An 18,398-nucleotide genomic window follows, 5' to 3' on the forward strand; every position below is an offset into this window, starting at 1 on the left:
TTTACCACTGTCGAGGTGTCCAGTGTTGTCCTTTTTAGAGCCTGGCTAGCTGAGGGTTAGATGGCAAGAAACATCATACTTGTATTTTAGTCCCTTAAATGAATGATTTAGATAGGAATGATTCTCCAAATTTTGAAAACACTTATCAGAAATGTTCTCTTATTCCTTCACTCTATACCATGTAGACTATAATAAACTGTCTCTCTTCTGCCTTCACACATTTCATGCAGAACATTAGGGGTTAGCAGAGAGAAAGCTTATCACCAGCTTCTTTTGGACTTGCTGCTTTTTTCCAAGCGATCTGAGATGATAAAATTATTCACCTTAGGGCTCCAACCCAGCACTCCTTTTTTTGATTTTCTCCTATGTTTTGTGAGCTTTTCTGTTGATGCTAGAACTCTATGCAGCAGTCAATGCCTCATAATGTAATTACATTATTTGTTCCTAGTTTTCAAGGAAAAATTTATTCCTGACATTCTTTTAATTTAGCTCAGATTCACTTTGCAGAAAGACAGTATTAGCTACTTTATGATCATTTAGTATTTGACTCTGATTTTGGAAGATGAAAAAGTTTTTGTGTCTATTTACCATGTTTTCTCAACCATTTAACCAAGATAATCTTATTGTATTGATTCTCCTAGAGATACTTAATTCATTTATTATCTTCATCTGTCAGAATTTATGTTAGAATATCACCAAGAATTACTTACAATTGAAATAAATCAGAGAGATCACTAAGAACATTGTCAATCATTAATCCAGAAATCTTGAACTTTCTGAGGTTTTTATCCCTAAAAGAAGTTATTTATCAATAGCCTGGTTACAGATTTTTTATGGAGGCTGAGGCAGGATAATCACTTGAACCGAGGAGGCAAAGATAGCAATGAATGGAGATCATGCCACTGCACTCTAGCCTCGGTGACAGACTGAGTGAGACTCTGCCTCAGTGAATAAATAAATAAATAAATAAATAAATAAATAAATAAATAAAATCACCTCTTGAATGGAGGGCGAAAAAGGAGTATAACACCAGGACTTGGGGGAAAAATATGCATTAGAAGGGAAGGAGAACATACTTAACATGCCAGTGGAAGATGAAATTCTAAATATCTGAGAATATTTTTGAGAACTATGTTTAATTCTCACTATAGAAAGATGTACCCTTTGAATGACATTAAAAATTCACTAGAAGAGTGAAGAATAATAGTTAAAATGTCACATAAGTAACAAGAGTCTCAAAACATAAAGTGTTCTAAAAGTTTAAAGTCCGTATTTGAGATAGAGGAGAGAATAAATAATAGTTCATTAATTAGACTTTATTATGTGAAAAGACTTTTCTAAAATTCTTCCATAATAATTGAAGATATAAATTACAATAATTAAAATTTACAAAAGAATAAAAGCATTAAAATAAATTGTGAGAATTTTAAAAAAGAGTAAAGTTGAAAATTATTTAATTTTTAATCCCAATAATCCGAAAGTGATTTTATCAATGTCCTAAGAAAATTAAAATAAAAACAAACTTAATAATGTAAAAGAAGGGAGGTTTCCGCCGGGCTTGGGGCGGGAGCTAGGGCTTCTCTGGGGTCTCAGTAGTGAGAGGCAGGGACCTTGGCGGGCACTAGGCTTTCCCGGACGGTGCCGCGATCCCCCGCCCACGCCTCCGGCATGGTGCTGCTGGCTGGGACTCGGCCGCAGGGTGGCGGGGCGCGCTGCATGATCCCGCCACCGCCATCCCCACTCCTAGGCGCACAGGTCGAGGAGGACCGCACTGAATTCAAAGAGTTCCAGGACTTCTCCAGTCTGCCCGACACTCGCAGCGTCGCCTCTGACGACTCTTTGTACCCCTTTCCAGGACGAGGAGGAGCACGGCGTCGAGGGCGTGGAGAGCGTACCGGAGGAGGGCGTCCTGGAGGCGCGGGGCAGAGGCGGACGCTGGTGCGGTGTGGGGTGAGCTTTAAGAAGGCGCGGGAGACTGACCACAATGGCTGGACCGGCCTTAATGTCGCCTGATACCACGACTTTGTGGATATACCGTGGTGGCCTTAGCTGAGTACCCCCACATTGATGTCAACTGGCAGGACAGGGAGGGGAACGCAGCCCTAATCATAGCTGCACAGGCAGGAACTGCCCCTGGCCCCATGGGCACTGTTGCCTTAGACACTGGCTCTCAGCCTTGCCCTTCCTGCGTCAGCATCACCTGGGCTGGTTCATTTGAGCTTTAACACAGATCTGGTGGAAACAGGCTGCCAGGCCCTGCCCCTGGAGTCTTTCTTTGAATAGGCCTGGGGTGGGGCCCAAGAATGAGCAGAAGAACAGGTTTCCTGGTGAGGCTGATGCCGCTGGCCCAGGGATCCCACGTTGAGGACGGAGGGCTTTGAGGTTTTCATGCCTGATAATGGCCAGGAACCCTTCTCAGTAGGCATTGAAGACCAGCAGAGTCCCAGACCCCAGGAGAGATGTCGTCAGACGGACACAGAGGCATCACGGAATTAAAGTGAAAATGAAGAAAGGAGCTGAGCATCTGTTTCATGACTTTCCTGCGCTGTTTTACTAAAGAGGCTGTTCAGGCCCAGTCAGGGCACGCTATCATCACCAACTACTTGTGAACTATGTCCTGGGTCTTGACCTTGAAGGAGGGATGCGTTTGGGTTGAAAGCCGCCATGCAGGGTCGAACCGATCACATCGGAGCCCTGAGCTAGTAGGGGCGGGTGTCCACACGAGGGTCCCTGCCGTGGGATGTCGCCAGAGGAGTGGCCACTTACACGTCCGCCTCATGCAGAGGCTCCTGGAGCGCCCCTGCCGGGAGCGGTTGGGGGAAAAGTACCAGCTTGAGCTGCCTCCGCTCCACGAGAGGGCGCAGAAGCCCGAGGGCTCCAAAAACTGCCTGCAGAGGGTCAGGGACTGCGAGCTGTCCGCGCTGACGCCGGGCGCCGTGCGTGGCCCAGAGGACCGGGGCGCCCTGGACCACATAGTCAGGATGACCACGAGCCTCTAACAGCCCCGCCGTGGCCTTCGCGTGCCAGACCGTGTGCCCCGAGAGGACCCTGTGCGTGGGGAAGAGGCGGCTGGCGGTGCAGGAAATCCTGGCGACTCAGGAAATTCTGGCGGCGCGGCGTGGGGTCGGTGGGGGCGGCAGGCGCAGGTGGCGGGCGAAACGGAGGGCGCAGAGCAGCACAAGCGGCCTGGCCTAGAGGCGGCGGGCTCCCGTGAGGAATCCCCAAGAGCCGGCCTCCCACCTGCCCCGCTGCCGGGGTCCTGGGGCTCTGCCGACCCCTCCCCGCGGAAGGCCAGCCTCCTGCCCCTGCAGCGCCTGCGGCGGAGCAGCTTGTGGCCAGGCATGGTGGTGCCCCGGGTCCGCCTCAGCAAGGCACCCGCGCCCACCTTCCAGCCCAAGAGGGCAGCGCGGAAGGGCAGCACCAAGGACAGCGGCCACCTGCGGATACCCAAGTGGCATAACAAGGTGGCCAAGGAGGAGAAACCCGAGGCGGAGGAGGCCGAGAAGAAGCGCCAGGCCAAGGTGCAGGAGAAGCGCCCGCTGCCCTGGAAGAAGAGGACGTGAGAGTCCGCGGGTGCTTGACACGGGGTTTGAGGGCAGGGCAAGGCCGCGGGGCTGGGCACCGTGGCAGCTCCCGGGACCACCGGGCCGCGTGTATTTCCGCGCTGTCTCTCTAGGATGCTCCCAGGAAGGGGCTGGGGGAGCCACATCGATTCGCCTGACACCAGCCACCCTAGCAATCAGTACACCTAGCGGGCATGTTGCCTAAAAGGCTCCCTTTAGAGAACCTCCGTTAAGATGTTTTTAAAGATCAATTTATTAGGCCGGGCGCGGTGGCTCATGCCTGTAATCCCAGCACTTTGGGAGGCCAAGGCAGGCGGATCTCCTGAGGTTGGGAGTCTGAGACTAGCGTGACCAACATGGAGAAACCCCGTCTCTACTAAAAATACAAAATCAGCCGAGCATGGTGGCACAACTACTCGGGAGGCTGAGGCCGGAGAATCGCTTGAACCCTGGAGGCAGAGGTGGCAGGCAGCCAAGATCGCACCATTGCACTCCGGCCTGGGCAACGAGAGCCAAACTCTGTCTCAATTTAAAAAAATCAATTTATTAAAGGGTATTTTCTGTGTAATTTTGTATTTTTAATCGTTATCCAATTTGCCAATTTTTACAAGTTATAGGACCTCTTGTATCCAAGGCAGTTTTAATACAATTGCCTGAAGACCTTTTATTTAAAATACTGTTCCTAGCAATAAATATTTATGATATCTGTAGGAGTTTACACAGAAATCATGGGATTCTCTCCTTTTGGGCTGTTTGCTTTGTCTTTTCTTCTCATCATGGGTGCACGTGCACACTGGATGTTTTTATTAATTAGATTAAGTGATGCTGGATATTTCTATTTGTTGGAGGGATTGACTCGTTCAGCCACATGATCAAGTGAGACAGAGAGATCAGATTTTATTGTATCTTTTTAAAAAGTGTTATCCATACAGTCGTATATTGGGGAAAAACTTTTATCGTCAAATTATAAAACAATGCAAAGATAAGCATGTAGGTATTGCTAGAATTAAACTCACTTTAAGCAAGGAGTTTTAGATAAACTGGATACAAAATCTTTAACATATTAAAAAAAGATATGAGACAAACGTGTCATTCGATAAAATGGGGGAAATATAATAAATGATTAACAGAAATACAAAATTAAGCCATATATGCACTCAAGTAAATCGAATCCAGGCATCCTTAAAATGTAATAAAGGATGCAACAAGAGTAAGGAGCCCAGAATGATGCAAAATAAAGGAATGGGGAGGAGGTGATGTTTACAACAAGCAAAGAGAATGCAGTGGGAAGCAAACTTGTTTTAGGCAAATTCTCCTGGAGTGGACCAGGCAGCCCTCTCTTCCAGACTCAGTTCCAAAGAGTCCCTTATGTGGGTATTTATTTTATTTTTCCTTTGAGGACTGCACTTGGTGTTTAGTTCAACCTCATGTGGACCTCATGGAATTTCCAAAACATGGGGCCTTGGCATTGTGGCACCTTCCTGCTACACGTACCTAATTCACAGCGTTACCAAGTCACCATGAGCCCTACCCTCACCTCTGTCAGCTGAGGACCCAGCCAGGCAGTGCCACATGGTCTCCCAGGCACACTTCTCCAAGCTGGCTATCCCTGCTGCGAAAATTCTCAAGGCACTGGTCCAGGGAGATGAGCTCTGGGCCTGTCCTAAAGCTCCATTGGTGACTGCACTGCAGCCCACATGGAGAGCTGCAGCTCTAACACAGGGATTTTGAGAGGCCTCGGTCACCTTTAAGTGGCCACTTTGTGGAGCTCCCACAAAGGGCTCCACCTTCCCAAGAACGTCTAATTGCCGTTGGAATAGCCAGGGTTAGGCAGCTTCTGCTCGGGTTGATGTGGCATCTGACCCTTGTTGGGTTGCCAGGCATTCCTTCCTGTTTCCGCCATGGGAAGTTAAAAATCATTTAAAAATCAAACTTGGGTTCCAAGGTGGCCGAATAGGAACAGCTCCAGTCTACAGCTCCCAGCGTGAGCGATGCAGAAGATGGGTGATTACTACGTTTCCAACAGAGGTACTGGATTCATCTCACTGGGGCTTGTCAGACAGTGGGTGCAGGACAGTGGGTGCAGCCCACCTAGCATGAGCTGAAGGAGGATGAGGCATCGCCTCACCCAGGAAGTTCGAGGGGTCAGGGAATTCCCTTTCCTAGCCAAGGGAAGCTGTGAAAGATGGCACCTGGAAAATTGGGTCACTCCCACCCTAATACTGCATTTTTCCAATGGTCTTAGCAAACGGCACACCAGGAGATTATATCCTGCGTCTGGTTCAGAGGGTCCCACGCCAACAGAGCCTCACTCATTGCTAGCACAGCAGTCTGAGATCAAACTGCAAGGCAGCAGTGAGGCTGGGGGAGGGGCGCCTGCCATTTCTGAGGCTTGAGTATGTAAACAAAGTGGCCTGGAAGCTTAAACTGGGTGGAGCCCACTGCAGCTCAAGGAGGCCTGCCTGCCTCTGTAGACTCCACCTGTGGGGGCAGGGCATAGCTGAACAAAAGGCAGCAGAAACCGCTGCAGACTTAAATGTCCCTGTCTGACAGCTTTGAAGAGAGTAGTGGTTCTCCCAGCACAGAGTTTGAGATCTGAGAACGGACAGACTGCCTCCTCAAGTTGGTCCCTGAGTAGCCTAACCAGGAGGCACCCCCCAGTAGGGGCAGACTGACACCTCACACGGCCACTTACTCCTCTGAGACGAAGCTTCTAGAGGAACGATCAGGCAGCAACATTTGCTGTTCAGCAATATTCACTGTTCTGCAGCCTCTGCTGCTGATACCCAGGCAAACAGTGTCTGGAGTGGACCTCCAGAAAACTCCAACAGACCTGCAGCTGAGGGTCCTGACTGTTAGAAGGAAAACTAACAAACAGAAAGGACATCCACACCAAAACCCCATCTGTACGTCACCAGCATCAAAGCCCAAAGGTAGATAAAACCACAAAGATGGGGAAAAAACAGAGCAGAAAAACTGAAAATTCTAAAAATCAGAGCACCTCTCCCCCTCCAAAGGAATGCAGATCCTCACCAGCAATGGAACGAAGCTGGATGGAGAATGATTTTGACAAGTTGAGAGAAGAAGTCTTCAGACGATCAAACTTCTCCAAGCTAAAGGAGGAAGTTCGAATCCATTGCAAAGAAGCTAAAAACCTTGAAAAAAGATTAGATGAATGGCTAACTAGAACCAATGTAGAGAAGTCCTTAAATGACCTGATGGAGGTGAAAACCATGGCAGGAGAACTACGTGATGAATGCACAATCTTCAGTAGCTGATTCGATCAACTGGAAGAAAGGGTATCAGTGATTGAAGAACAAATGAATGAAATGAAGTGAGAAGAGAAGTTTAGAGAGAAAAGAGTAAAAAGAAGTGAACAAAGCCTCCAAGAAATATGGGACAATGTGAAAAGACCAAATCTGTGTCTGATTGGTGATGAAAGTGATGGGGAGTATGGATACGAGTTGGAAAACACTCTGCAGGATATTATCCAGGAGAACTTCCCCAACCTAGCAAGGCAGGCCAACATTCAAATTCAGGAAATATAGAGAATACCACAAAGATACTCCTCAAGAAGAGCAACTCCCAAACACATAATTGTCAGATTCACCAAAGTTGAAATGAAGGAAAAAATGTTACAGGCAACCAGACAGAAAGGTCAGGTTACCCACAAAGGGAAGCCCATCAGACTAACAGCAGAGCTCTCGGCAGAAACTCTACAAGCCAGAAGTGAGTGGGGGCCAATATTCAACATTCTTACAGAGAAGAATTTTCAACCCAGAATATCATATCCAGCCAAACTAAGCTTCATAAGTGAAGGAGAAATAAACTCCTGTATAGACAAGCAAATGCTGAGAGATTTTGTCACCACCAGGCCTGCCCTAAAAGAGCTCCTAAAGGAAGCACTAAACATGGAAAGGAAGAACCAGCACCAGCCACTGCAAAAACATGCCAAATTGTAAAGACCATCGATGCTAGGAAGAAACTGCATCAACTAATGAGCAAAATAACCAGCTAACATCATAATGACAGGATCAAATTCACACATAACAATATTAACCTTAAATGTAAATGGGCTAAATGCTCCAATTAAAAGACACAGACTGGCAAATTGGATAAAGAGTCAAGACCCATCAGTGTGCTGTATTCAGGAAACCCATCTCACGTGCAGAGACACACATAGGCTCAAAATAAAAGGATGGAGGAAGATCTATCAAGCAAATGGAAAACAAAAAAAGGCAGGGGTTGCAATCCTAGTCTCTGATAAAACAGACTTTAAACCAACAAAGATCAAAAGAGACAAAGAAGGCCATTACGTAATGCTAAAGGGATCAATTCAACAAGAGGAGCTAACTATCTTAAATATATATGCACCCAATACAGGAGCACTCAGATTCATAAAGCAAGTCCTGAGTGACCTACAAAGAGACTTAGACTCCCACACAGTAATAATGGGAGACTTTAACAACCCACTGTTAACATTAGACTGATCAATGAGACAGAAAATTAACAAGGATATCCAGGAATTGAACTCAGCTCTGCACCAAGCAGACCTAATAGACATCTACAGAACTCTCCACCCCAAATCAACAGAATATACATTCTTCTCAGCACCACATCGCACTTATTCCAAAATTGACCACATAGTTGGAAGTAAAGCACTCCTCAGCAAATGTAAAAGAACAGAAATTATAACAAACTGTCTCTCAGACCACAGCGCAATCAAACTAGAACTCAGGATTAAGAAACTCACTCAAAACCGCTCAACTACATGGAAACTGAACAACCTGCTCCTGAATGACTACCGGGTACATAACGAAATGAAGGCAGAAATAAAGATGTTCTTTGAAACCAACGAGAACAAAGACACAACATACTGGAATCTCTGGGACACATTTAAAGCAGTGTGTGGAGGGAAATTTATAGCACTAAATGCCCACAAGAGAAAGCAGGAAAGATCCAAAATTGACACCCTAACATCACAACTAAAAGAACTAGAGAAGCAAGAGCAAACACATTCAAAAGCTAGCAGAAGGCAAGAAATAACTACGATCAGAGCAGAACTGAAGGAGATAGAGACACAATGAAACCTTCAAAAGATCAGTGAATCCAGGAGCTGGTTTTTTGAAAAGATCAACAAAATTGATAGACTGCTAGCAAGACTAATAAAGAAGAAAAGAGAGAAGAATCAAATAGATGCAATAAAAAATGATAAAGGGGATATCACCACCGATCCCACAGAAATACAAACTACCATCAGTGAATACTATAAACACCTCTATGCAAATAAACTAGAAAATCTAGAAGAAATGGACACATACACTCTCCCAAGACTAAACCAGGAAGAAGTTGAATCCCTGAATAGATCAATAACAGGCTCTGAAATTAAGGCAATAATTATGAGCCTACAAACCAAATAAAGTCCGGGTCCGGATGGATTCACAGCTGACTTCTACTAGAGGTACAAGGAGGAGCTGGTACCATTCCTTCTGAAACTATTCCAATCAATAGAAAAAGAGGGAATCCTCCCTAACTCATTTTATGAGGCCAGCATCATCCTGATACCAAAGCTAGGCAGAGACACAACAAAAAAAGAGAATTTTAGACCAATATCTCTGATGAACATCGATGCAAAAATTCTCAATAAAATACTGACAAACAGAATCCAGCAGCACATCAAAAAGCTTATCCGCCAAGAGCAAGTGGGCTTCATCCCTGGGATCCAAGGCTGGTTCAACATACGCAAATCAATAAATGTAATCCAGCACATAAACAGAACCAAAGACAAAAACCACATGATTATCTCAATAGATGCAGAAAAGGCCTTTGACAAAATTCAACAGCCCCTCATGCTAAAACCTCTCAATAAATTGGGTATTGATGGGACGTATCTCAAAATAATAAGAGCTATTTATGACAATCCCACAGCCAATAAATATCATACTGAGTGGGCAAAAACTGGAAGCATGCCCTTAGAAAAGTGGTGCAAGACAGGGATACTCTTTCTCACCTCTACTATCCAACACAGTTTTGGAAGTTCTGGCCAGGGCAATCAGGCAAGAGAAAGAAATAAAGGGTATTCAATTAGGAAAAGAGGAAGTCAAATTGTCCCTGTTTGCAGATGACACGATTGTATGTTTAGAAAACCCCATCGTCTCAGCCCAAAATCTCCTTAAGCTGATAAGCAACTTCAGCAAAGTCACAGGGTACAAAATCAATGTGCAAAAATCACAAGCATTCTTATACACCAGTAACAGAGAAACAGAGAGCCAAATCATGAGTGAACTTCCATTCACAATTGCTTCAAAGAGAATAAAATACCTAGGAATCCAACTTAAAGAGACGTGAAGGACCTCTTCAAGGAGAACTACAAACCACTGCTCAATGAAATAAAAGAGGATACAAACAAATGGAAGAACACACCATGCTCAGGGATAGGAAGAATCAATATCATGAAAATGGCTATACTGCCCAAGGTAATTTATAGATTCAATGCCATCCCCATCAAGCTACCAATGACTTTCTTCACAGAATTGGAAAAAACTACTTTAAAGTTCATGTGGAACCAAAAAAGAGCCCTCACAGCCAAGTCAATCCTAAGCCAAAAGAACAAAGCTGGAGGCATCACACTACTTGACTTCAAACTATACTGCAAGGCTACAGTAACCAAAACAGCATCGGACTCGTGCCGAAACAGAGACATAGACCAATGGAATAGAACAGAGCCCTCAGAAATAATGCCACATATCTACAACCATCTGATCTTTGACAAATCTGACAAAAACAAGCAATGGGGAAAGGATTCCCTATTTAATAAATGGTGCTGGGAAAACTGGCTAGCCATATGTAGAAAGCTGAAACTGGATCCCTTCCTTACATCTTATACAAAAATTAATTCAAGATGGATCAAAGACTTAAATGTTAGACCTAAAACCATAAAAACCCTAGAATTAAACCTAGGCAATACCATTGAGGACATAGGCATGGGCAAGAACTTCATGTCTAAAACACCAAAAGCAATGGCAATAAAAACCAAAATTGACCAATGGGATCTAATTAAACTAAAGAGCTCCTGCACAGCAAAAGCAACTATCATCAGAGTGAACAGGCAACCTACAGAATGGGAGAAAATTTTTGCAATCTACTCATCTGACAAAGGGCTAATATCCAGAATCTACAAAGAACTCGAACAAATTTACAAGAAAAAACAAACAACCCCATCAAAAAGTGGGTGAAGGAGATGAAAAGACACTTCTCAAAAGATGACATTTATGCAGCCAACAGACACATGAAAAAATGTTCTTCAACACTGGCCATCAGAGAAATGCAAATCAAAACCACAATGAGATACCATCTCACACCAGTTAGATTGGCGATCATTAAAAAGTCAGGAAACAACAGGTGCTGGAGAGGATGTGGAGAAGTAGGAACACTTTTACACGTTGGTGGGACTGTAAACTAGTTCAACCATTGTAGAAGACAGTGTGGCGATTCCTCAAAGATCTAGAACTAGAAATACCATTTGATCCAGCCATCTCATTACTGGGTATATACCCAAAGGATTATGAATCATGCTGCTATAAAAACACATGCACACGTATGTTTATTGTGGCACTATTCACAATAGCAAAGACTTGGAACCAACCGAAATGTCCAAAAATAAGAGACTGGATTAAGAAAATGTGGCACATATACAACATGGAATACTATGCAGCTATAAAAAAGGATGAGCTCGTGTCCTTTGTAGGGACATGGATGAAGCTGGAAACCATCATTCTCAGCAAACTATCACAAGGACGAAAAAACGAACAGTGCATATTCTCACTCATAGGTGGGAATTGAACAGTGAGATCACTTGGACACAGGAAGGGGAACATCACACATAGGGGCCTGTTATGGGGTGGGGGGAGGGGGAGGGATAGCATTGGGAGATATACCTAATGTAAATGAGGAGTTAATGGGTGCAGCACACCAACATGGCACATGTATACATATGTAACAAATCTGCACGTTGTGCACATGTACCCTAGAACTTAAAGTATAATGAAAAAAAAAATCAAACTTTCCAGAGAAGACATCTCCAGAGAAGACACACTGAATATGCATCTGCTAGGCTTCAGGCACCCAATAATTACTGCTTACCTAGATATCCGCAAATCCTCTAGACATGAGACTATTCATAGCAGATTCTGGTGTGTATCACATTGGTAATAAAGCACTTCATCCTCACTTACTCTAATAAAAATACTTTAAACTTACTTCCCAAGGCACTTTTGTCTGGTCTAAGCAAACATGTAGCTATCCCAGCTTTCTCAGTTATTTTAAATAAATCAATATTTAAAATACCTATAATTAGCGCATTTATAATATATTGGTTTGTGTTATATCAAGTAATTATAGTTTGTTTTATTATGAGACAGACTGTCATTCTGTCACAGGCTGGACTGCAGGGCACCACCATGGCTCACTGCAGCCTGGACCTTCTGGGCACGAGCCATCGTGCTGCATCAGCCCCCTGAGTAGCTGGGACTATAGCATGTGCCATCATGCCAGGCTGATTTCTAAAGGAATGTTTAGTAGACATGAGGTCTGACTATGTTGCCTCCACTGGTCTGGAACTCCTGGCCACAAGACGTTCTCACACCTTGGTCTCCCCAAGTGGTGGGATTGGAGGTGTGTGCCACCATGCCTGGGCTCCTATTTTATTCTACTACCTTATGCATTATTTGACATTTTGGGTCTTAAAAGTTATAATTCCACAGCGTTCATGTAATTATGGAACCCATAAAGAGCTTACAATTACCAATATATTATATACATGGAAAAGTCTTTTCTTAACTTCAATTTTATCGTTTAAATTGGCATATGTTTATTAACTTGTTTCTGAGATTCATCAGCTTTGTTGCATTCAGTGAGTTATTTATTGTTTTATAGGATTATTTTGCATAAATACACCAAATTTATTTAGCTATTCTACGGTTGAAGAATATTTTGGGTCTAATTTGGAGCTACTATAAAAATTGATGCAGTGAACAATATTGTGTATGTTGAAGTATATGTAGGCAATCAGTTGACTATATTTTAGAATTAGAATATCTAGCCCATAAGAAATGCTAATAGTCAGTTTCCCAAAAGGGATTTCCATTTACATCTCTCCAGCCATGAATAAATTTCATTTATTCTGTATCTTTGACAACACACAATATTGTGTGTCTTTAAATTTTGGTATTTTTTTATGAGGGCCTGTGGTACAACTGGTGGATTAATTCTTACTTTTGTAAGACTAATGAAAGTGAGCACTTTTTTATATTTGGCTAGTTATTTATGTATCCAATTCTGTAAAGTGTCTGTTCAGATATTTTAGCCAATCTTCTGTTGAGTTCACTGTCTTTTATTTATTACAATTTAAGTATTCATCATATACATGTATTATATTTTACTTTATGTATGTTGGGGTGAATATCTTTCTCCACTACTAGTTTGCATAATGTTTTTTGAAACACAGAAGTCATCATTATCAATATAAATGAACTAATTGTTTTAATTATTAATTTGTGCCCTGGTTAAGAAATCCTTATGAGAATATTGTATCAGGTTCCCCTTCCTTTCAGGACTTCAATCTATCTGGAAATGACTGTGTGTGTTTTGAGGTAGGAGTCAATATTTAGTTACTTTTTAAAAAAAATTTCAATTAATCCAGCATTGGTCTGATCACATTGTGTATTTCAATGTAGACGAGCACACTAATAATGAAGGATTATTTATATCTGTGGTGAGAATTGCAAAATAAAGCCCAGCATAGAAGGTCAAATAGTATTACCTCAAAGGATAGATTAATACAATGAAACCTGATGGATAAGTGTAATATAGTTAGATAAAGAGGAAGAAAAACATTTCCCAGTTATCATTGAGACTTCACTCCAAGTTTTTTGCATGAAGCAAAAGATCCCGACTGTCTTCCATTGATTTTTACTTCATTCAGACATGTCTGTCATCTATTATTTCACTCAGTGACAGTCATAAATAAAGAAAAAAAAGAGAATATACTGTATGCCATGATCATGAATAATGATTTTTCAAAAATTATTTAATAAAGAACCAATACGTATACTTTTAGCGTTTTCAGCATATTTAATAGTAACACAATAAATGAGTTTTGATAACATTAGAAGGCAATTCAAGACATAAAATAGAGCCTATTTGTCCTGTATGTTAAGGCACAAGGAAGAGGACTTCCTGGGATAAAGGGGTTCCCACAGCATGTGAACACATTTCTGATTTGTCTCTGGTCAGAAGTGAATACAGCAAAAGATAGGCCTGAGAGGAGGTGAGAAAGAGCAATTAGGGATGGTGTATATTAGGGAGCTTTGATTAACATCAACAAAGCTCACAGTCTTAGCCTCACAATCCAGGAATAATCCTACTCGGCTGGTAGGTTTTGGGATATATTGCAGCATAAGTGGGGAGGTGGTAAAGAGACTGCATTGAATGTCATTCTTAACACACCCAAGAAGAAAGAGTCCCGCCTTTCCATCTATCTTCTCATTCTGATTCTTCTCTTTCCGATACATATTACAGACACCAAAAGCCCAATTCCAGGAGTCCCCTACATGGACCTCCCAGTAATATTTGCCCGAGGTGAAAGTCTGAACACCCCATGCAAGAAAACTTCTAGGTGTTGCAGTGAAATAGGGTACATCTTGATGGTCACATCCAATACACATGCTTCTCAAAATTTCATACAGAAAGATATCATTGTTGGCTTCTTCATGATGCAGAGTAATATGCACTGCAAAAAAAAAAAAAAAGAAAACATGCATAGACATGTGTAAATAAGAAAAAAATAATTGTTCTATCAAGAAGTTACTTTACCAGCAAATGTAAAGTCATAAAATGTTTTGCTTGTAACTTCTAGTAAAGTATAGAGATGGTTAATATTATATACAAGACAAACAAAACCCTAACCACAGATATTATGTTTTTTTTTTGAAAACTTACATATTGAGAGCCAAATGTGAGACCAACTTCTTTCAATCCAATTTTCAAAGTAAAATTTACACATTATATGCCCTAAATGCAATGCTGTTATCAAGATCATTATTTAGAAATGTTTCTTATTCTTAAAAACTAGTGCTATCATTTTGGAAAGAATGTGAATGTGAAGATTTTCACTTAAGAACTGCTCTAGATATCTGGATAAAAATCCATATGTACATGTTATAAGTGATAATTTAAAGCAGATCTCTGCAAAATCTTTGACCAGTCTCTCTGAGGTCCTCCATGCTAGCTCTGGGCTGAAGCTGGATTTTAGACTTAACATGTAGCTCTTCATATTGCAATTAAACTGAACTTATTTTCATTTGTAATTTTACTTATATCCACAAAATGATTTCTTCCTTTTAGCTTTACCTATTAATTCAAATGTTTGCAATATATGAATAATATATACACATTAAAAAAATACAAAACCCCCAAGAATCTCCAGAAAACTATATTCCCCTAAAGAACAGTTCTTAGCAGTTCAAATGAATACACTAAAGAAATGCACAATTTTGTATTTAACATTAAATAATTCACCATTCTGAGCATTATTTCATTTGCTCCTTTTTAAAATTTTCTACACTACTCCTTTTTCCCGTTATATAACTCAGTACATATTATGCCAGAAAGTATTTCTTTTTCACTATCTTTCAAACTTAATGCTATAAATCTGACTGTAAATACAGACACGGATACCAAAGGGTTGCATGGTTATATTGTTCACTTATGTCTTAAAAGAAGTAAAATATTTGATAAAATATGAAATATTACCTATGTGATCCTAACAATAATAATATTTAGATAGTGGGAGTGCTGCCTGTGGGTGGAGACTTACCTCGGAATTGGTTGAGCCTGTCCCTCAGTCCAGTGATGGGCCCTGCACTGAGCTCTGGATTCAGAGGCTGGGGCATGTGCAGCAGCACGGACTCACTCCTGCAAGGAAAAACCTGCAGTTACAACATCTACAGCCATAAAATAAATAAAAATCACTATTTGTATATAAAAGACATTTCAAGAGAATCCTTTGAATCTACACATTTGATAATTCAAAAATTAATCCTTCCTTTTGCAAATTAATTCTTTACAGTTTCTAAATTTTAAAGCATGATGGAAGAATCTAAGCCAGAATCCAATCTGATCCTTCTTTTTTTTTTTTTTGCTCCAAATGTGTAAGGTTCCTTAGCTTTATGGCCTTGAGAATATTTAGAAACGAAATTCTGAGTTCCACTTCTTGGCAGACTCCCCTGACATCTTTGTCTGAAATAGCGGGGTTCTGGGGAGACTGATGCATCCACTGCTTCCTTCTCAAGATAAAGAATGGAAACTTGTTCTCTCCCCTTTTAGCAAAGAACTTCCCTAGAGACTTACACAGTTCTAACACTCCACAGTTTTTTTCAATCTATTTTTCAGAACTGTTAACTGATATGTATATATGTATAAAAAACAAAACATCAACACTTTTTCACTGCTAAAATACTTCCTCCTCTTCTCTCCTGCTTCCTCTGGTGACTTTCTCACCATTCACAAAAAAAAACTTATCTTTCTCCTGTGCAGGCTTTCAAGCAATAAAACAAAATCAGGGGCCGGGCGCGGTGGTTCACGCCTGTAATCCCAGCACTTTGGGAGGCCGAGGCGGGCGGATCACGGGGTCAGGAGATAGAGACCATCCTGGCTAACATGGTGAAACCCAGTCTCTACTAAAAATACAAAAAATTAGCCGGGTGTGGTGGCGGGCGCCTGTAGTCCCGGGTACTCGGGAGGCTGAGGCAGGGGAATGGTGTGAACCCGGGAGGCGGAGCTTTCAGTGAGCCGAGATGGCGCCATTGCACTCCAGCCTGGGCGACAGAGCCAGACACCGTCTCAAAAAAAAAACAAAAGCAGGAATCAAATTGTTTGTTTTAGTTCACTCTTCTTTTATTCATTTATTTACTTCGTGGCCTTGTCTTTTAAGGTGTGGGAACGAAAGTAGATGCAAAAAAAAGTGGTATCAATATCTTAATTATTTATGCCATGACTTTAATAGAGCCTGCTTTGATAGTCGTGGAATCTTAAAGAACATATGCTAAAATCTAGGTACACACTCACCTGTGTAATATGTCTCCAAAAGCCTGAAAAAAAAAAAAAGAAGAAAGATTTAGTGCATTTCACAAGATGCATCTTTCACTAAGTTCAGTGTGAGATTTGTACTCAGTTTCTGAAGATATTATTTCCCTACCATCTTCTCTTCTGGAAAGTATTTTCTGTTTCTTCTGTAAAGAAAAACCCAGTCAGTTGTATTGTTATTAATTAACGTCCTGGGAAAGTCTGAGTCTTGAAGACATTCTCTAAAGAAGTGAAGGGAGAAGAGGCCCAGAAGGTCTATGGTCTGTGGTAACCATGAAAAACCTACTCAGTCATCTTTAACTGAACCTGTTACCCAAATGAGTGGACCCCAAAATAATGTTAATGCAAACCTAGATTCCCAAAACTTCTGATCTTGCCATGTTTACAAATTAACCTAAATGTAAATGAATCACTCACTATTCTATACATGTTTAACAACCCAAAGTATATTATTGAATTAGATGGGGAATATTTCTTGGGGCTGTTACCTTGACCATTCCACAAAGTTTTGTGGCTGGTGGATAAAGTAGGAGGGACCTTTGGCCTGGTAGAATCCCTTAGTGGGGCTATACTCTCCCAACAAAGTAGCATTAGTTATGTGAATGTGTTTTTGGAAACACATCATGGAAATAAAAGTAGGGAGATGGATTTCAGCCATGAGGAAAATACTTATACATGTGAATATTCAAAAACCTGAAACCACATGGCGAGTTTTTACCTGAAGTAGCTCCACATCTGGTTTATGGCACATTTCGTTCAGCTCCTCATACATTCCTCTTAAAATCTCCATCCTATGAGCCATTTTGGCTTTACTTAAATGAAGTCGATGAAAAATTTCTTTCCCCTTCTTTTTCAGCATCTCCAAATTATGTTTTTCTTCTTCATGATGAAATGCAGGCATCTTCTGATACTCAGCTCTAATTGCTTCTAGCCTTAAATTCACATAATCCTGCAGTGATAATGGGTTAGTCAAAAGAGAAATGTATATATCCATCTCCTATTAAATCTCACTGATTCCTTTTGTCTCTCGAACGTCCAATAGTTCAAACTTCTGTCTTGCCAGTTCTTAGAATCTACAAATTTTGTTCCTTTCCTTTTTTCTGCATAAAGATCAACATAGCTGTATCTGACCAATTACGTTAAATTTATTCAAGATAATGTGTTTTCTAAGATAGTTGAAAACAAAAAAACACAATTTGAATTTCTCTATTCCAACCCATATTTATGGCAAAGTAAGAACAGTTCATGCTTGAGAGTTGGAGTATAGGGCTATAGTTACTAGAAAGGAAACAATTCTTTCTATTTCTGAGATATGCACCAAGTTGCTTAAACTCATTATATGAAAATGACCTTAGACTAGCATGTCCAGCTAAGTGCATTTCGCTCAGCAAAACCTATCCTAATAAGGCTGCATTTATGATTTGGCCATCTTTGTCTCCCTGAATTCATTTCCTTCTATTCTTTTTCTAAGTCATCCCAGTCTGAAACATAGACTTCTTTGTGGTTCTTCCGGCCTCCAAATATACACAAACTCAAAATTACTGCATATGCTGTTCTCTCCAACTAGAATTACATATATATGTATACAAACACACACACATACATACATACATACATACATACATATATACACACAACCACACACACATACATACATATACACACTCATGGTCCACATATATATCCACACAC

General features: G+C 41.5%; 1 protein-coding gene and 1 pseudogene across 3 annotated transcripts in view; one reads left to right on the top strand and one right to left on the bottom strand.

The window, feature by feature from the left end:
* The window catches only part of TRIM49 (tripartite motif containing 49), a 42,125-nt gene that overhangs the window by 17,827 nt on the left and 5,900 nt on the right, over positions 1-18,398 (bottom strand). Inside the window, exons 5-8 of one of the 3 annotated variants that reach the window (NM_020358.2) lie at positions 17,425-17,655; positions 16,689-16,711; positions 15,439-15,536; positions 13,378-14,352 (exon numbers count right to left, since the gene is read on the bottom strand). In NM_020358.2, the coding sequence (NP_065091.1) occupies positions 13,853-14,352; positions 15,439-15,536; positions 16,689-16,711; positions 17,425-17,655 (852 nt within the window). In that variant the 3' untranslated portion in view covers positions 13,378-13,852. Of the gene's footprint in view, positions 1-13,377; positions 14,353-15,438; positions 15,537-16,688; positions 16,712-17,424; positions 17,656-18,398 lie in introns of those variants that run through there. The other 2 variants (XM_017018027.3, XM_024448617.2) reach the window with 2 other exon arrangements.
* Positions 2,571-3,093, top strand: ANKRD33BP7 (ANKRD33B pseudogene 7; annotated as a pseudogene).

The sequence above is a fragment of the Homo sapiens genome, chromosome 11 (genome assembly GCF_000001405.40).
Source record: "Homo sapiens chromosome 11, GRCh38.p14 Primary Assembly".
Lineage (NCBI taxonomy): Eukaryota > Metazoa > Chordata > Mammalia > Primates > Hominidae > Homo > Homo sapiens.